Consider the following 20,490-nt stretch of genomic DNA (forward strand, 5'->3'; position numbering starts at 1 on the left):
ACATACTGAATTTAAGCAAGCAAGAAATTCAGTGGATTTATCTACTGTGGACAAAGTTTTTTTCCTGCCATACTAGAGTTTTTTTAGCAGTTGGAGTAGGCTGTCCTGTAGTTAGCCATAGTTTAGAGTTATTTTAGTAAAGTGTGTTACTTCAAAGGAGATGTTGACCCTTCAGTGCAGGTGATATTTGCTTGGGCGTATGTCAAGTTTCTGAATACAGTCTGTGAAAGTTAGAATTCACTATGATAGTGAGTTTTGTAGGTTCTCATAATCTAGGTTCTTTGGGAAGAATTATTTGGATAGTTTGTGAAAACTAGCTGAAATTGCTTTTTCTGTTACAGAGAAGTGTTCATCAAATAATTTGTACCTGATTTTAAAATTATATGCTCAAATGTATATTGCGTATAAAATGCTAACAGAGAATTAAGTGTTTATAGAACTTGATGAACGTTTAACTGTAGCTTCCAACTTAAAGTATACCTGCCACAAGAACGAAAGTAATAATCTCACCTCCCTTTTTGTGTAGAGACTGAATTCTAATTAGTTGTGTTAATAGTATTTGCTGAATACCTTTCAATTCCTAAAACTGGGGTCAAAGTAGTCAACATTGCAGTTAATTATTTTTGAAGAGGATATGAACTATTCTGTTATTTAAGATATTTTAACCTAAATACCATTATGAGTTAAAATGCATACCATGATATAACAATTTACCTATTAACTGTTGACAATCTTGCAGCCAATTAAGTTTTTTATAGAACCAGTGTTCTTAGGTATGTTTGTTGAGCCTTCTACTTTTTTTCCCTTTGATGTGGGGAATAGCATCAAGCAGCAAGAAAAGAGTGTTGATCGATTTCTCTCTCTTTCTCTCTCTCTCTCTGTATCCTTGCCGTTTAAAATATGCACTTTCCAACTAGTATTTGGCCGTTAGGGAGTTAGTATCTTTGTAAAGATTAAGTCAGCAGAGGAAGGTGGGCAAATAATATTTTTGATAAAGACTTTTGGTTGTGACAGTTGTAGCAAGTTATTGCTTGAGGAGTGAATCTGGAAGTTTATTTGAATTTTAACTAAAACTCACAGATTTTATCATTAGTTTACTCTCCCTTACCCCCAAATAAAACAACTGACAGTTATGAGAGACCTCCTGAGACCACCTGGTATTTCCAAACTCCTATCATTTCTCCCATAAAATTTGATACACTAAGTTTGTTTCTGGTATAAAAATTGAGTGACTGCTCTGTGTCAGCCATTAAATTTTTTCTTGCTATGAGCCATCTTTTTTTTTTTTTTTTTTTTAAGATCCTTTAGTTTTTAGCTGCTTCTTGGTAACCTTAGAACTTTGCTTCCTTGAAGAACTTGGCTTTCTTGATATGGTGTCACTTGAACAAAGAAACTTAAAAAAAAATTCCTCTAAGAGTATTTTGTGTACAGGTGAAAGTAACTTTGTGGCTTGGTTACACTGGGTGTGTCACAGCTGAGTAACTCCCTCCTGCACTTCAGCTTGACTAAGCGTTGAGTTCACATGTATACCTTTGCAAAGCTGCCATTCACAACTTGTTTTGGAACTTTAGGGTTATCAGTATAAAGCCTGAGTAACAAAACTTAGTCATCCAATGTCCAGGCTGGATTGTATTTTTATTTTGTGATCAGTAATTCAGCACAATGCTGGAACACATTACTCACATTTGTCTTATGACCCTTTTCTGTAATCAATGGAATCTTTAATTGATAAAGCAAGTCTAGGGGGAGAGACATTTTTTAAAAAAAGCTCCTATATACTGAATATATTTGAGCCCTGATTATGAAGTGAGGGACAAGGCTTTTCTTTTTGAAATAAATGATGGAGGACATAGATATGTGGTAGCCATTCATGCTACATAATTTAGCATTTTATTGTTAATATGTTTGGTTATGGGTCTTCTTGTTTGGTATTTCAACATGTTCTGGACTGGATATCATACTGAAAAGTATTTCAGTTCTCATTACTGAGTCCCTGTAGTTTGGGGAAAATGTGATCACTGATCTTGAAGGAGAGAATGTTTCAGAAGCATCCGGCTAAGGCAGGATTGTAGAGATAGTCTTGATTTTATACTTTGGATTTAATTCTGATGAGTCATTTTGTCACTTGTGTATGCTTAACTGTTACCTCTGTGCCTGGCAAGAGCTAGGTATGAGTTCAGCTTTTACTTTAGTCCTGAAAATTTTTGTTCCCAGTTTAGGCCAGTGAAGAAGCACTTATGATTGGACTTGTAATTTTCTCATTTTAAAAATGTAGATAATGGTCATCTTCATTGGGTCATGAAGATTAAATAATATAGTGCCCATAAAATGCTTAGCAAAGAGCCCATCACATTAAAAGTGCTCAATAAATGTAAGCTTTTAGTAAGGTTATTTTATTCTTACTGTTTGTTTCATCTTACTTTCTTGCACCCCTCCTTCATATCCTAAGTTCTTCTTCAGGAGCTAGGTTGGCCCTGAGGAACTCGCTGGTTGTCTTGGCCTACCAGGAGAGTTTGTTTAGGCCAGTTACAGGAGAGATTTGTGAGAATGATTTTAGGAGGCAAGTCCTCATTTAGTCAGCTTGGGTGCGTTTTACAGTTCATCCTCTCTTAGAATTTTTTTTTTTTTTTTTTTTTTTTGAGAAGAGCCAGCCTTTTGAGAGAGCATATGACTCTTCCTGGACTACAACAGCTTCTTGTGTGAATCACAGCCCGGCTTTTGCCAGTTAGTCTGAGTAGATAACTACCCACCCCCACTCCCCCAAGCTGATAATTATTACCCTGGTTTATCCTCTGTCTCATTTCCCCTCTCAAGCTGTTAGAGAATGAATACTGAATACTGTGGTGCACTGCTCCATGGATATAAATGTAACAGCAGTAATATTTACAACCAATGTCTAATTGGCTGTAGCTTGCTTTCAGTGTTCAGTCTAAACCATAGGACTATATATTTGTCTTAGCATAATGCCGAACATGCAAGTCTGCTTAAACTATAGTCTTAAGATTTGTGTGTTTTGGGTTTCCTCTACTTCCTCTATTTCCTGTCTTTTTTGGGTTATAGGTCAGATGGGTTCTACTTTTTATTCCCATTTCAGACTGTGGAGAGCTTCTAAAAATACCAGTGTCCATCCCTGCCCCTAGGATCTAGTTAATTTTTAAAAGCTCTCTGTGTTTCAAATTTGCATGTGTTTCTGTATGTTTGCAGTATCTCCGTGTGTTTTCAAATCTTCTGATGGAGCACTTCGTGTACTTTAACCCTTGGTCTTTCCATTGCCTGTCCCATTTTTAAATTCCCTTTTTAGTCTTAATAGCTGCTTGAGTTAGGACCTCTGGAAGCAAAAGTGGGATAGGATGCTGACGGGGAATTGTAGGCTTGATGGAAGAGGATGTTTCTATATTAAATGTCATGGCAGATCCAGTTCTAGGCATACCTTTAAAATGTATACACAGGCTGGGCGTGGTAGCTCACTCCTGTAATCCCAGCAGTTTGGGAGGCCCAGGCAGGCGGATCACTTGAGGTAGGGAGTTCGAGAACAGCCTGGCCAACATGGTGAAACCCTGTCTCTACTAAAAATACAAAGATTAGCTGGACATGATGGTGGGTGCCTGTAGTCCCAGCTGCTTGGGAGGCTGAGGCCGGACAATCTCCTGAAGCTGGGAGGCGGAGGTTGCAGTTAGATGAACTGACACACCACTGCACTCCAGCCTGGGAGACAGGGTGACCAAAAAAAAAAAAAGAAAAAAGATAAAAAATGTATATGCAGGTGGGCTTTCTCCCCTCAAGATTCTGAATTCCTTGTAAGTGTCTTCTAGTCGCTTTAAGCTCTTGTGGTCGTCTCTTCCTTAGTGTACTCTCCTTACATCCTTTGGAAGTTTAGATTCTAGAATTATTTACTTGGAATGCAGTTACATTCCATTCTAAACTTCCTTTCCCTTGGGTTTATAAAAACATTGGTGGGTTGTGAATTGTGACCGACATTGAAAAAATACAAAAGAATGTGGTAATAAACTCCAGGGTGTATCCCATTTGTATGGGTTGTTTCTAAGTCTAGCAGTGCCTGCTAGCTGGTAATCTTTCACTTTGGATTTTTTGTTGTTGTTGGGACAGAGTCTCACTCTGCTGTGCTGGGATTACAGGTGTGAACCATCATACCCAGCCTCGTGGTGGTATTATAGATGCCTGAGGCTGGATAATTTGTTATTGTGGGGAGCGTCTCATACACAGTGCGGTGCTGCAATCCCAGTCTCAGGTGGGATTTTCCCACCTCTGCCTCCCAAGGAGCTGGGACCACAGGTGTGTACCACCCCACCTGTCTAATTTTTGTAGAGATGGGTTTGGACCATGTTGCCCAGGCTGGTCTCTAATTCTTGGGCTCACCTAGACCTCCGAAAGTGCTGGGATTACAGATGTGAGCCACCGTACCTGGCCTTCACTTTGGATTTTATCAGGAAGGAATATTGTACATGGTGAACATTTTGTAGAAAAATACCAAAGTAGATTTATATTTATTGAGTGCTTACTCTGGGTAAGGGACTGTTTTAAGGGTTTTACGTGTGTGTGTGTGTGTGTGTGTGTGTGTGTATGTATATATGTATATATATACACATATATACATATATATAAATTTTTTCTTTTGAGACAGGGTTTCACTCCCATCTCTCACACTGGAGTGCAGTGGTACAATTTCGGTTCACTGCAACCTCCACCCTCCAGGCTCAAGCAGTTCTCCTGCCTTAGCCTCCCTAGTAGCTGGGACTACAGGCACATGCCACTGCACTTGGCTAATTTTTTGAATTTTTTGTAGAGAGGGGGTTTCGCCACGTTTCCCAGGCTGGTGTTGAACTGGGCATGAACCACCATGCCTGGCTATATGTATATTTTATTTAATATGAAAGTCAGTATAGCAAAAATGTTAGTAACCCTCCTAAAGTTAACCAACTCACTAAATGAATGATTACATAGTCCTCTTCCTTTAAAGGCCTGTGGGTGACCTTAGGTCCTGCTGATCTTATTTATTTTTTTGAGACGGAATCTCACTGTGTTGCCTAGGTTGGAGTGCAGTGGCGCCGTCTCAGCTCATTGCAACCTCCGCCTCCCAGGTTCAAGCGATTGTTCTGCATCAGCCTCCCGAGTGGTTGGGATCACAGGCGTTTGCCACCATACACCCAGCTACTTCTTACTATTTTTAGTAGAGATGGGATTTCACCATGTCGGTCAGGCTGGTCTCAGACTCCTGACCTCAAATGATCTTGCCACCTCCGCCTCCCAAAGTGCTGGGATTACAGGGGTGAGCCACTGCGCCTGGTCCCTGCCGAGCATTTACTACCCATGCCGTTCTGTTCCTTCAGTTCCATTGTGTGCTTACCAAGGATTAGTAGATACATCTTGAATTTGTTTATGCTGGTTGTACGGTCATGTGTTGCTTAGCAATGGAGATACATTCTGAGAAGTATGTCGTTAGGTGATCTTGTAGTTGTATGAACATCTCACACAAACCTAGGTATAGCCTACTGCACACTTATGCTGTAGCCTGTTGCTCCTAGGCCACAACTGTATAGAGCATGTTACAGTACTGAATGCTGTAGGTGATTGTAATACAATGGTAAATATTTGTGTATCTAAACAGAAAAGGTACAGTTAAAATACAGTATTACAGTCTTATGGGATCACTGTTGTATATGACACCAGTCATTGACCTAAACTTCCTTATGTGGTGCATGATACTTGTAACTTTGCATTTTAATTAAATAGCAAGTCAGTAGGCGAAATGATTGTGAGAGATTGTTTCAGTGAAAACTAAGTTGAATGCTTTAGGAAGACTAAATAATAGCATGTATACTACCTCCTAAGAATCTAGAACTTGTTCTGATTGCTTTGTATGTGTTAGTTTATGTAATTCTCACCACTCCTGAGGTACATATGCTTATCGCTATTTGCTAGATGAGAAAATTGAGTCACAAGGAGAGTAGATGGTAGAATTGGGATTCAAACAGTGGCAGTTTGACTCCAGCATTGATTAAGCATCTTGTGAAAAGTTGCTGTCAAATTAATGGGTAAGAGGAAACTTAGCCGGGTGTAGTGGTTGATTCTTGTAATCCCAGCACTTTCGGAGGCTGAGGCTGGCAGATCACTTGAGGCCAGGAGTTCGAGACCAGCCTGGCCAACATGGTGAAACCCTGTGTCTACTAAAAATACAAAAATTAGCTGGATGTGGTGGTGCACTCCTGTAATACCGGCTATTAGGGAGGCTGAGGCAGAGACGCTTGAACCTGGGAGGCGGAAGTTGCAGTGAGCTCAGATCGCACCACTCCACTCTAGCCTGGGCAGCAGAGTGAGACTGTGTCCCCCCAACCCCTGCCCAAGAAAAAATCAACATCAACAAAAAAAGAGGAAACTAATGTATATGAGACTGCGGAAAATAGTAAAAATCTTGCATAATTCTGTAGTTTGCTTCTTTTTAAACACTTTGCATTTTAAAGAAGCAGACTCAAAATCACAGTGCACTGTGGGTGTGATTGATGCCAGTCACACATTCTGCTGTTCAAAAGGCCATGACTCTACATCAAAAGATTCTAGTTAAAATGTTGCCCTGAAGTGATGCTCATGGGGATAGTATAAGAAACAAATGTGCAAAGATGGGTAGATGGGAGGTACTGGAGGCCTCGGAACTTCACCTTTGTGCAGTTTGTCGTCCATTGGCACACATGAACTTTGGATTTGGCCACACGTTTTGAAGATTTGTGCTTTGCTTCAAGTTTGTTTTTTTTTGTTCGAAACTTAGTTCCCAGACAGGTTTTGCATGAGAATCACTTGGAGAATTTTAAAAGCCAAGCTCCCTGTCTGATTGGATTTGGGAGCCATGTAGTAGGTTTGAGGAATTGTCCAAAGCTCTGGGTGGGTCTGTGGCATAGCTAGGCTTGAGAACTGTTGTGTTTATCTGCCGTCTCGGGGAATAGTTCTTGAGTGTGTTGTGTGTTGACAATCTTGAGGCGGAGTCTCGCTCTGTCGCCTGGGCTGGAGTGCAGTGGCGCAGTCTCGGCTTACTGTAACCTCTGCCCCCTGGGTTCAAGTGATTCTCCTGCCTCAGCCTCCCAAGTAGCTGGGATTACAGGTGTGCACCACCGTGCCCAGTTAATTTTTGTATTTTTGTTTTGTTTTGTTTTGAGACGGAGTCTCGCTTTGTTGCCTGAGCTAGAGTGCAATGGCTCGATCTTGGCTCACTGCAGCCTCCACCTCCTGGGTTCAAGTGATTCTCCTGCCTCAGCCTTCTGAGTAGCTGGGACCACAGGTGCCCGCCACCACGCCTGGCTAATTTTTTGTATTTTTAGTAGAGACAGGGGTTTCACTATGTTGGCCAGGCTGGTCTCAAACTCCTGACCTCGTGATCCGCCAACCTTGTGATCCGCCCGCCTCGGCCTCCCAAAGTGCTGGGATTACAGGCGTGAGCCACTGCGCCAGGCCCTGACAAACTAAAATGATCAGTGTGTCTTCCATTTAGATGCAGGTTGGCATTCAAATAGAGGCAATATATGACTGGTGAATTGTAATTTCAAAGGAAAGCAGTAATGGATCAAACTCTTGCACTGTTCTCTTTCCCTTGCTTAAAAAAAAGTCTGTTCCCTCTGAATCTAGCTTTATATAGACGTTTAAATCCTTAAGTTTACTTGCTAAAAATCACCTGGGGTGCTTGTTCAACATATTCCCAGGCTTCTTGCTTGAAAGTTAAAAAATTCAGCAATTCTAGGGTTGTGTCCAAGAATCTGTATGTTGAACAGCAACCTCAGTTGATTCTTGTACTGAGGCAAGTTTGGGAATAAGGTCAGTGTGGGACGGGGTTTCGATCTTTTCTGTTCTGTTCTGCTGCTTTTTAGCTGTAGAATCTTGGGCAGGAGTGTCTGAGCCTGTTTCTTCATCTTTTAAAATAGAGTAAGGGTAGTACTTGTCTCTTAGGGAAGGAAGTTCAAATTAAATAAAATGATACTTCTAGGCAGTGGTCTTTAACTAGTGGCAGGTTTGTCCCCTTCCATTACCCTGGACATTTTTGCTTGTCACTCTGGGGGTGGGGGTGTTACTGGCCTCTAGTGGGTAGAGGCCAGAGATGCTCCCCAACATCCAAGAGTGTGTATGAGACAGCTCCCCACAATAACAAATTATCCAGCCTCAGGCATCTATAATGCCACCACTAGGCTGGGCACGGCGGTTCACGCCTGTAATCCCAGCACTTTGGGAGGCTGAGGTGGGATCCCTTGAGCTAGGAGTTCGAGACCAGCTTGGGCAATTTAGGGAGATGCCATTTCTACAAAAAATGTAAAAATTAGCCGGGTGTGGCAGTATGCACCTATAGTCCCAGCTATTTGGAAGGCTGAGGTGGGAGGATTGCTTGAGTCCAAGAGCTTGCGGCTGCAGTGAGCTGTGATCACATTACGTGCACTCCATCCTGGGCAACTGAGCAAGACCCTATCCAAAAAAAACAAAAACCCTATGATTGAGAAACCGTGCTTGCCTTGGTAAATGTTGGTTGTTAGTAATAAAGTTGAGTCCCTTTGCGGTTTCTTCTCTGGCCTGATCCAGGGACCCCTCTTACTCCCATGACGTTATGGGCATACGTTTCACATTTATTATTGGGATTGGTAATCAGATCTTTTAATCTCCTTTGAACTTTGGGAGTTGCTGAAAGCACCATATATTTTATAAAAGTCTAAAGTTTATAACCTAAACAATAGCTAACTAAAGACAAGACTCACAGGGCTGAAAGGAACTCTTGGTCAAATTGGTCCATCTGTCCTTAGGGCTTTAATGGGTGTAAATACATTGCCCGAGGTGGTTAAGTATTCTTTTGTTAATGAATTCTGGGGAGAACTCCCCTTGTAACTGCTTTTCACAGCTTGGTTATTTACAAAGACTTTTGATTTTACCTGAATAGAAAGCTTCTTTTGTCTTTTGTGTATTAGCACATTGCCAGATCCTGATTAGGTAGGTATTTGTGAAGTGCCTTAACTAATTTGTACCTTAACCAGGCTTCTTGCTAGAATACATGTTTCTCTAATGTATGCCTGGGTGCTAATAGTTTGGTGCTATGGAAACTACTTATATTTGGTTATTGGGGAGCAGAAGTAGTATGCATGATGAGGCTAAGGTGATGCCTGCCTGGCTTCAGCTGTGAATTTTAGAAATACACTGATTAAAGGTAAATTTTTTTTTCTGTCCTTACTGCTGGATTTCTTAATCTGGGAGGTACTTGATGGAATTTAGCCTTTTTATCCCTTGAAATTATAAGCAGCATTTTGTGTGCACTTTTTCTTATACATGTACCTTTTTCTGCTGTCAAAAGACAACATTTCAACACATTGAGTATAAAGATCTAATTGGATTTTATTATTGATTAACAAATTAGGTAGCACCCCATCTATAAAAAAATAGGTGCCCATTGGGCATGGTGGAACAATCGGTTTTTATAAGGTTGAGCAGGAACAGGAAAACAACATAGTACAAAAATGTGGGTTAACATCAGGTTACTTGAGGTTATTTTCCTTATAAGGGTTAAAGCAGAGGGAACTTCCTTATGCCAGCTCACACTGTCTGTCTGGGGATTTGGGTATCTTCTTTCCTGAAGGTAAGGTAAACAATTTAGAAGTTTAACATGAGTGACTCTATTTTGGTTTGGTCTGTTAGGGTCTAGGAGCTCGGTCCAAATTAGTGGCCTTCCATAGATTCTGTTTAACACTGGAAGGAGGGTCCGTAGTGTTGCGTGTGTTAGGGTGACTGCTGAGAGCACTGCTGAATCCTGGGGAGGGGCCTGCACCTTAGAACTGATCAGTTCTACAGTGTTAGAAACAGACCTCTTTTGTCAGAAATTAAGAATTCAGAAAAGTTCAAAGGATATAATTAAAGTTTTTTTTTTTTTGAGACAGAGTCTCGCTCTGTTGCCCAGGCTGGAGTGCAGTGGTGCGATCTCAGCTCACTGCAAGCTCCGCCTCCCGGGTTCACGCCATTCTGCTGCCTCAGCCTCCCGAGTAGCTGGGACTACAGGCATGTGTCACCATGCCCGGCTAACTTTTTGTATTTTTAGTAGAGACAGTGTTTCACCGTGTTAGCCAGGATGGTCTCCATCTGACCTTGTGATCTGCCTGCCTCGGCCTCCCAAAGTGCTGGGATTACAGGCGTGAGCCACCACGCCCGGCCTAATAAAGTTTTAAAATAAAAAAGTTAGACATAGCTAGGGTCACTTTTATGATTTTGGCATATAAAGAGTTGGCACTTATAAAATGTACATGGTTATGTAAATATGTTTTGTGTTTTAAAAATTTAATAGTTTTGAAATTTTCTTTTTGATATTGTGAAAGGAAAATAAATCTCGGTATCTCCAAATTACTAAGCCAAAGGGAAAAGTCAAGCTGGGAACTGTGTCAGGCAAACCTGCCTCCCATTTTTTTCCTAAATAAGATAGCTAGAAAAATAAAAATGCTACATACCTCCCTAACAATTTGCCCACAGGGAAATTCCTTGTGGACAAAGAACTCAAAGCCATCCCCTCTGTTCACCTAAGACAAATGCGTATCTGATTGCTTCCTCTGCCCTGTTGTTTTGCTAAGCCAGACTGAGGCATAAATGACTATGCCTCTACTCTCTTCTCACATGGAACTTGTGTATTCAGTGAAAGGCTAATCAAGAGACTTAAAAGAATGCAACTGTTTGTCTATTATCTACCTATGACCTGGAAGCCCCCTCCCCTGCTTCCAGTTGTCCGGCCTTTCCAGGCCAAACCAGTGTGCATCTTACACATATTGATGTCTCATGTCTCCCTAAAATGTGTGAAAACCAAGCTGTGCCCCATCACCCTGGGCACATACCATCAGGACCTCCTGAGGATGTGTCACGGGCACGTCCTTAACCTTGGCAAAATAAACTTTCTAAATTGATTGAGCTCTGTTTCAGATACTTTTGGGCTCACAGTATTTACAGACATAATTCAGCCCTAATCTAGCTGCTGCATTTAGTTGCATAGTGTGAATATTTCACATTTTACTTTTACATTTTCATAAATGGGTATATGGATTATTTAGGTTTTGTTATGAACAGAGCTCTGAATATTTATTTGCCTCGTCCTATACAAGTTTGATAATTTGTCTACGTTACATGCCCACAAATTGAATTACAGGATTCATACACTTTTTTATTTTTTTGAGTTGGAGTCTCACCCTGTTGCTCAGGCTGGAGTGCAATGGTGCAACCTCAGTTCACTGCAACCTCCAACTCCCACGTTCAAGCGATTCTCCTACCTTGGCCTCCCGAGTAACTGGGACTACAGGCGCGTGCCACCACGCCCAGCTAATTTTTGTATTTTTAGTAGAGACGGGGTTTCACCATGTGGTCCAGGATTGTCTCAGTCTCCTGACCTCCTAATCTGACCACCTCGGCCTCCCAAATTGCTGGGATTACAGGCATGAGCTACTGCTCCTGGCTGATTCGTATACATTTTAAGGGTTACTGGCTATTCTTACAATTATTTAATACTAAGAGACTTTAATTTCTGCAAAGCAGATGAGTGCAAAATAACCAGTTATAATGTTTCCCAAGTTAACAGAGGTTTAGTTATTTTTAAAAATGAGTTTATTGGCCATTTCAGTTTCTTCTCCGTAATTGCGTATCCATTTTCTTTGTGCAGTTTTTGGTTGGATTTTTGATAGGTAATTCTTCATATGTTGTGTATCTATATACTTTGTTATGTGTACATTGAAATTTTGTTTCCCAGTCCGTCTGGGAAACAAGTTACTTGTCTTTTAACCTTGTTTATAGTAATAACTTATTCTGAAGAAGCACAGGACTTGAACCAAAGGTGGAGAGTTTAAAGAACTACATCCAGTATTCTTTACCAATAAGAAATGTGTGGCCAGGCGCAGTGGCTCATGCCTGTAATCCTAGCACTTTGGGAGGCCAAGGCGGGCAGATTACCTGAGGTCCGGAGTTCAAGACCAGCCTGGCCGACATGGTGAAACCCTGTCTCTACTAAAAATACAAAACAATTAGCCAGGTGCAGTGGGGCATGCCTGTAATTCCAGCTACTCTGGAGACTGAGGCAGGAGAATCGCATGAACCCTGGAGGCGGAGGTTACGGTGAGCCGAGATCACGCCACTGCACTCCAGCCTGGGCTACAGAGCGCGACTTGGTCTCAAAAAACAAACAAGCAAAAAGAAAAAAAAGGTGTGACCAGTCAGTCTTCTTTGCTTTTCCATCTTAAGACACATAGAAGTGACTGAGAAGGAATAGTTATGCAATGACATCGGTTTAATAATCAGTTCAACTGAAGAATGTATGTAAATAAGGGCAGTGATACCTAACGCTGATAGTTGATAGTGTGGATTGCATAATTCAGACTGTGGGGTGATATCTTACACACGCACATACACACACACACTCTTGGGCTTTGTCTTCTTTATAGGTAAGGATTAGGAGAATTTTGACATATGCCTGACACAAAAGTGCTCCGTAAATATTAGCTATTGTATCACTGGCAGGAAGTTAGCCTGGAAATAAGTTTTATGGAATTCCAGTGTAGATTGCTTTGTGATTGTTTTGCCAGATTTTGCTTTCACCCACAAAAACACTAAGCTCTGCCAACCAGTTCGGCCATTTTGTAAGTTAGCAAAATAAACACTAAAGTGAAATGGCGGCTTTTGGGCGGGGCTCCCACAGGCTGGCTCCTTTTAAGTGGAATGTTGCTGTGCTGCCCTCTTGTGGCCATTTGGGAAACCGCGATTAAAAATGGAACAGTAAGTGTTAATGGCACTTCGTTTCAAAGTCCAGTTCCAAGAAGGTTAATCACTCCGTTTTTACCTACTTCAGAAAGTATTTTGAAGAGATACCAAATTCTTTTTATCCACAAGCAAAAGGAAGTGGTAAACCTTTTTCTCATCAGCATTTATTTTTGATTGGAATCTGAATTCCCAGTTTTGACTTGTTTTTTTATCTGTGTGTTGTATTTTCCTTTTAATTATTTGTTAAGTAAAAAATTATAAAAGTTGTTTGCAATTTAGATGTTGAATAATTTTCAGATAGTTGTTTTTCGTGAAGATTCTGTATATATGTTGGATAGTCATTCCTGAAAATCCAATGTTTAATTGCCCTGTAACTAGTAAGCCACTGGTAGTCAGCTAATTTTATTACTTTGTTATTTAGGTGAAGGCTTAAAGGACTCCACTCACTAACTCAGTTTGACCCTTTCTATTAGTCTTGTGGGCTTTCTGCCTCCTCTACTAAACCAGCACTAAAGCTACAGCTTAGTACTAATAGTATTTACTATTATAATTATTAGGTATTAATGGCAATTCTACATAGTCTTTTAGGAAATGTCGTTTTTTTAAGGGAATAATATGAATATATATATACGTATATATACACATGTACGCTATATATACACACATATATACACATATACATATATATACATACACACATATATATACATACATATATATATATATTTTTTGAGACAGAGTTTTGCTGTTGATGCTTGGGCTGGAGTGCAGTGGTGTGATCTCGGCTCACTGAAACGTCCACCTCCTGAGTTCAAGCGATTCTCCTGCCTCAGCCTCCAAAGTAGCTGGGATTACAGGTGCATGCCACCATACCTGGCTAATTGTTTTTTTAGTACAGGCTGGGTTTCACCGTGTTGGCCAGGCTGGTCTTGAACTCCTGACCTCAGGTGTTCCACCCGCCTGGGCCTCCCAGAGTGCTGGGATTACAGGCTTGAGCCACCATGCTCGGCCCATAATTACACTTTTTTTTTTTTTGAGACGGAGTCTGGCTGTGTCATCCAGGCTGGAGTGCAGTGGCACGATCTCATTTTCCATTTCCAGTTTATTTAGTGATTATTCCTCTTACGAGAAGTATGAAAATTAAGTAATGACTTTGTTAAGGCTTTTTTTTTTCTTCTTTAAGCAGTTCCCCTCATTAGTACTTGTATTCAGTCTTACATCTGATTCTGGTTCCAAAAACAATTTAAAAACACTTTTTTTTTTTTGGAGACGGAGTCTTGCTTTGTTGCCCAGGCTGGAGTGCAATGGCACGATTGCGGCTCACTGCAACCTCTGCCTCCTGGGTTCAAGTGATTCTTCTGCCTCAGCCTCCCGAGTAGCTGGGACTACAGGCACACTACCATGCCCAGCTAATTTTTTGTATTTGTAGTAGAGATGGGGTTTCACCGTGTTAGCCAGGATGGTCTCCCATCTCCTGACCTCATGATCTTCCCATCTCAGCCTCCCAAAGTGTTGGGATTACAGGCGTGAGCCACCGCGCCTGGCCTAAAAACACTTTTTAAAAACACTCATTCAAATCTTTGCTGGTTTTGTGTAGGGTGGGATGTACTTGCCGCCCTTGGTTTGGATTTGGCTCTCATGATTAGACTTACTTTAGACAATTAACTAGTTTAGACATTAAAAATACTTAAGGTATATAATGAAGTGCTGTGAATTCACTATTAAGCTTCACTACTAAGTTTCAGTCATAAAATGTCACTAGTATCATTCCCTGAGAGCATCTGCCTCCCTCAACCCCTAAAGGCAAATATAGTTGTGAACTTGGTGTTAATCTTTTCTTGGGTTTGATTTTCATTGTTGTTATTTTTGAAATTACACAAGTAATCCATGGAACTCACAAGTATACTTCAAATAACCCATCCCTAACAGAGTAAACCAGTGTTAGCAATGTGGTGATTAAAATGCATTTATACACATAGATATATGCTGACAGAAAAACGGCTTTTTTTTTTCCCCAGAAGGTATTGTTGTGTGCATTGTTACATTTCTAGGAATCACTCTCCTACACAAACTCAAAAACACATAGCTGCACAAGAAGATACGTAGAAAGAAAGATATTTATGGTTACAGTCAACAGTTTCCAAATACAAATACTCTACTCAGAAATATGGAAAGTGTATCAGAGATATTTGCAACTTATTGATTAAGTGAAAAATCTGAAAATAACCTAAATGTACCGTTAATAGGGGAATGTTATATAAAATGTAGTGAATTTATAGTATAAACCAGTTCAAAGGGAATGAGATGGGCATCCATATAGACATATCCTGATGCGGGCATTGGCATTCCATTACATCCTATCTGCAGTGCTTCCCACTTTTCAACACAGAACACTATAAACATTTCTAGTTGGGCTGTTCTAGTTATCTTCAGTAAACTAATGCTGCCTTTTGTGGGTCTCTAGTTGGTAAAGATTTTCAGTCTTTTTGTTGCTGTTGGAGTTTTCTGTTTCCTAGTAGTGTGTAGACCTGTTGTCTGTGACAGTTTTATTGGTGGTGATTGCCAAAACATGATTCTATTCTTAAACTTTTGTCTGGAGTTAAACATTATAGTAGTTGAAAAACTAAATACGTTATTTCAAAGGGGAGGCAAATTGCACATTCTAGCAAATGAATGTGCAATTGAATCCTTCTCTAATATACCAGGCACAAAGAACATCAAAGGAGATATGCTTAGTTTGCAAGTTTATTGGGGAGGTTGACAAGCGGCCAGATTACTCGATAGTATGGGACAAGTGGAGGCAAGGTAGTGTAGATGTTAACAGCTGCCGGAGCTTTGGAGTGAGTCTTTCTAGGTCAGCATGTGTGTCATTGCTAAAAGTATAGAGAGCCAGCAGGGCATGGTAATTGAAGCTCAGACTTGAGATGTGGCTGCCTGTTTTCCATCTCGGTGGTGGTAACTGCTGTGACATATGTCAGTATTGTGGAAGTATCTGATAGGTATTGAGCTTAGGATAGGAGACCAAAGGATGTTTTCTGGGAGAAGGTGATACCTAAGCCCACAAAATTAGAGAGGTATTTAATTTGCTGTGTCCGCAGTGGGTGCAGGAGCTAGAGGGGAGCAATGCTAGGTCTAGAGTCTGGAGCAGTGGGGGTGAGGGAAGAAATGATTAAGTCATGTGCCTTGAGAAATTGTCAGAGGCCAGGTTTTATAGGGCATGCTGAAATTGGATGTTATCAGTGACCAGAAGACCCGGATGCCTGGGAGGTGAACAAGCCTTCAGCTGCCTTTGCTATGGGAATACAGTTTCCAGGTACTGCCTTGCCTAACATCCCTTTCAAGTAGACTGCCCTTTCTATTAAATAAATCCCTTCCTTACTTACAAGGAAATTCTGGAGCTGTCTCTGTACCTGTCTGTCCATGAACAAATAGTGGAGGCAAAACTAATAAATTCCAGCTAGTGTCATGGATTGTGGGGTAACGACTCACTAATGGGTGTTAGCTGGGGAGAATTTTGTGTTAGAAGGGGAATCTCAGCTTGGATGTGATATGCTCAGATTTCCTGTTTGGGTAGGGCTTTGGCATTTATAGGGCACTGCTTTCATAGCTGCCATTAGATGTTCTTATGACACTACTGGTAGATGTCACATAGGTTGACACAAGTTAAAAGATGACACAGGCCTGAGGTGAGCTAGGACTGAAATGGAAGCTGCGATGCCAGAGCCCACAGCTTTTAAGTGTTCCTATCACTATCCAGCTCTCCTCTTCCTTTTTTCTTTCCTGTTGACAACCTGCCTGGTCACAGGTATAAAGTAAATGACTCAGATGCTTTAGTCACCTGGACTAGTCAGCTTGGACTGTGCAAGGGGTTAAGGAGTCAGTAATTGTAATGAGGTCTTGAAACTGTTGAGTCACTTGTTACAAGGAAGCCTGTTTTGGGACCTTGTGTAACAGGGATAAGAGTTAATAATGTTTTCTGAGTCTCTAATCTTTTGGCCCCCTATGGTAAAATAGAAAGAAATGAGCTTTAGATCCACACTTGGATTGGAATCCCGGCCCCTCACCCTCTTCCTCAATTTCTAGTTTTGTCCATTGGCCAAGTTACATAAAAGAGGTCAGTTTTTTTCGTCATTCATATGGTGATAATAATGCCTAATAGTATTGTCCTTGGGAATAAGCAAAATAATACATATAAAGTACTTAGCCTAGTGTCTGATACCTGTTAGGTGATCAGGAAGTTACATGGTTTTTCTCATCTTTCCCCACTTCCCAGTATTGAGAACCTCCCCTCGACCCCTGCTCTCCCATTTTTTCTCATTGCTTCCTCATGGTAACTGAAAGGCCTCCGTATTGTAATGTGCTGTGGATCGCATGGTGTTATTTGCAGCAGTCCCAGTTTGCAGTGTACTGCCCTGTGCACCTCTAGAAGATGCAGTGATGGTAAATATAGAACTTCCCCTTACCCTTTCAGGTTTTGTGCCACGTGTCTTATCTCCTGGCTTCTGAACTCAGGGACTTTTCTGTTAATGTTACTGTAGGTTCTGGGTTTTTCCTTGCCCCCCTCAGAGCAAAGATGGGTAGTTTTTAAGCAAGAGTAAACAGTCCACCTCTTGCTGTAGAGTCCATCCGTTTGAGGTCTTTTTGCTTCAGAGTATCTTCCCCTCTACCAGCATGCCCCTCAGTTGCTTTTTCACCATTAGAGGAAGATGAGGATATTGTTTTCTCTGTGCTTGAGATTGATACTCTATCACCCCTCAGTCTCTGTGGTTTCTGTTTTGTTCCTTTAGATGACATCTACCTACTTAGGTTGCTGCTCCCTATGGGATGTTTGGAATGAAGAAGGGAAGGGAGATGTGTGGAGGCCAGTAGCCGTCTTTATTGGGTTGGGTGTTCTCATTAGCATCAGAGTGCCCTTTTTGTTTACTTACTTCTGTTAAGTCTACCACTTCTGGATCTCACTGCAGATTATAAGGCAGGGCCTCTGGATTGAAGTTAATGTGTATAAATTTTTATAAAGCTCCTCAGATGAGCCTAATTTGCTCCTATTAGTGAGAACCACGATTGGATAATTGCAACCAGTTTGCATTCTTCCTCTTTGGGTGAGATGCTTTGTTTTTTTTGTTTTTGTTTTTTGGAGACAGGGTCTCACTGTGACACCCAGGCTGGAGTACAGTGGCGTAATCATGGCTCACTGCATCCTCGACTTCCTAGGCTCAAATGATCCTCCCACCTGAGTTTCCCGAGTAGCTGGGATCGCAGGCATGCACCATCATACCCAGCTAATTTAAACATTTTCTTGAAGAGATGGGTTTTGCATATTGTCCAGGCTGGTCTTGAACTCCTGGGCTCAAGCAATCTTCCTGCCTAGGCTTCCCAAAGTGTTGGGATTATAGGCTTGAGCCACTGTGTCCAGCTTGTTTTTTTTTTTTTTTTTTTTCTGGAGACCAAGTCTCGCTCTGTCTCTAGGCTGGAGTGCAGTGGCGTGATCTTGGCTCACTACATCCTTTGCCTCCCAGGTTCAAGCGATCCTTCTGCCTCAGTCTCCCGAGTAGCTTAGACTGCAGGTGTGTGCCACCACAGCCAGCTAATTTTTGTATTTTTAATAGAGATGGGGTTTCACCGTGTGGTCCAGGATGCTCTCGATCTCCTGACCTCGTGATCCGCCCGCCTCGGCCTCCCAAAGTGCTGGGATTACAGGCATGAGCCACCGCGCCCGGCCTGCTTGGTTTGGTTTTGTTCTGTGTTTTGTTTTTTTCTTGTTGAGAGGGGAATGATACTTAACAGATAAGACTTCGTGGATTCATATATATCTGGTTTCAAATCTTACTGTGTTAACTAGGTGTGAGAGTTAAATACTTATGAGCCTCAGTTCAGCCTCATTTGAATGAAGGGGACAGTAATATCCATGTTCAGAGTTTCTGTCAAGAGCCTGTCCATAGAAATAACCTGTTCTGTAGCATCATGTAAACATTCAGGAAAGGGTAGCTATTGGGGATTTTGAGAATGGTAGCAATAACGTTATTTGGAATGTAAAAGTATAAATGTGAATTTGAAGATTTTGGTCTTATATTACTAAAATTACTATCTGCAAATGTTTTACCATGAGAATTTTTTTTTAAGCAGATTCATGTGTCAGTTCTTAAATATTTTTAAATCTCTCTCTCTCTCAAAATAAGTCACTCAGCCTCTGAAGAAGCTTCGGGTTCAGACTCAGGCAGTCAGTCGGAAAGTGAGCAGGGAAGTGATCCAGGAAGTGGACATGGCAGCGAGTCGAACAGCAGCTCTGAATCTTCTGAGAGTCAGTCGGAATCTGAGAGCGAATCAGCAGGTTCCAAATCCCAGCCAGTCCTCCCAGAAGCCAAAGAGAAGCCAGCCTCTAAGAAGGAACGGATAGCTGATGTGAAGAAGGTATCTACTTTGCCCTGCAGTACAAATGTGCTGCTAGCCTAGGACAAGCTAGCAGACCTTTGTTGTTCATGAAAACTCATTAGTATATCTTGATGATGAAACCTACAGCCATTTTTTCTAGTAATATACAGTAGTATATCTGAGGATACAAATGAAGACTTCTTTCTGCTCTATTAAGGAAAATAAATGACCTGAACCATCCAATTATAGGGAGGAAAGACAAATTTTTATACGCTTGGTTTTTAACTTTATTTATTTATTTTTGCAACAGAGTCTTGCTCTGTTGCCCAGCCTGGAGTGCGCAGTGGCACGATCTTGGCTCACTGCAATCTCCGCCTCCCAGGTTCAAGTGATTCTCCTGCCTCAGTCACCCAAGTAGTTGAGATTACAGGTGTCTGCCACCACGCCCAGCTAATTTTTGTATTTTTAGCGGAGACTGGGTTTCATCATGTTGGCCATTCTGGTCTTGAACTTCTGACCTCAGGTGATCCACCTGCCTCGGCCTCCCAAAGTGCTGGGATTATAGACCTGAGCCACCATGCCCAGCCTAAAATATATTTTTAAGGTTAAAGTGAGCAGTTCCGGAAAGTTAATAATATGTAGTTATAGGTTGGATGGACCTACAAGCCAGTCAGAATGATTGCACTGTGCCTTTGATAATCATTATCCTAAAATGAGAACTTCTAAGGAAGGCTCTTGGTTTTCTATGTACACCTCCTTTTCACATGGTAGCTCTCTGTCCCCCTCCAAAAGCTTATTACTCATGTAAGAGTACTCAGTAGTGAGTAACTCCACATAGTAGATTTTTCATGGAGGAGTTGACTTAGATATCGGCTCTCAAAAGGACAAATAAGAACACAAGATAATTTTAGGATGTAAACATTATAATATATGCTGTAATAAAGTCATAATAGTTGAGCTAGAATGCCTGGCTGGTATCTTGAAGTGATAAAACTAGTTGATGTAGTAACACTGAAATGATTTTGCCCTCCCAGTTAATAAGGGCTCCATAAAAACCTGTGTTGAGTAAAAACTTTCATAGCTCTAGCAGAGGGCCAGGTGTGGGCATGGATAGACAGGCTAGAGTAAAGCGCACTTTCCCTCCTTCCTTTCTCTGCCAGGTTTTTTCAGAGTGTTTTATGTTTACTGCCTCTACCTATATTTCCTACCATTTGGTTATTCCTAACTCCTTCTGTTTGGACCTTTTGTCCTTTAACTCCAAGGTGATGCTAAGGCCGTTACAGAATCTGTGGACTTTGGGTTATGTGATTACATTGGATTCTAGTTGTAAAATGCCTATTCTGGGCCATCTTTTCTTTTGAAGCC

General features: G+C 41.3%; 1 protein-coding gene across 2 annotated transcripts in view, besides 2 other annotated features; it reads left to right on the forward strand.

The window, feature by feature from the left end:
* CHD2 (chromodomain helicase DNA binding protein 2) overlaps positions 1–20,490 on the forward strand; it is a 127,673-nt gene that overhangs the window by 5,065 nt on the left and 102,118 nt on the right. For both annotated transcript variants that reach the window (NM_001271.4, NM_001042572.3), the window contains exon 3: positions 18,933–19,164. In NM_001271.4, coding sequence (NP_001262.3) covers positions 18,933–19,164 — 232 coding nt within the window. The remainder of the gene's footprint in view (positions 1–18,932; positions 19,165–20,490) is intronic.
* Positions 11,911–12,747: an enhancer, noted in NCBI's record as "H3K27ac hESC enhancer chr15:93460529-93461365 (GRCh37/hg19 assembly coordinates)". NCBI's record gives its function as "activates a minimal SCP1, AML or CMV promoter by ChIP-STARR-seq in naive H9 embryonic stem cells {active_cell/tissue: H9 hESC(naive)}" and the evidence as "EXISTENCE:reporter gene assay evidence [ECO:0000049][PMID:30033119]".
* Positions 16,094–17,293: an enhancer, noted in NCBI's record as "P300/CBP strongly-dependent group 1 enhancer chr15:93464712-93465911 (GRCh37/hg19 assembly coordinates)". NCBI's record gives its function as "activates an origin of replication core promoter dependent on BRD2, BRD4, P300/CBP, MED14 and CDK7 cofactors, with strong dependence on P300/CBP, by STARR-seq in HCT116 cells {active_cell/tissue: HCT116}" and the evidence as "EXISTENCE:reporter gene assay evidence [ECO:0000049][PMID:35650434]".

Source organism: Homo sapiens, chromosome 15 (assembly GCF_000001405.40).
Source record: "Homo sapiens chromosome 15, GRCh38.p14 Primary Assembly".
In the NCBI taxonomy this organism is placed as follows: Eukaryota; Metazoa; Chordata; class Mammalia; order Primates; family Hominidae; genus Homo; species Homo sapiens.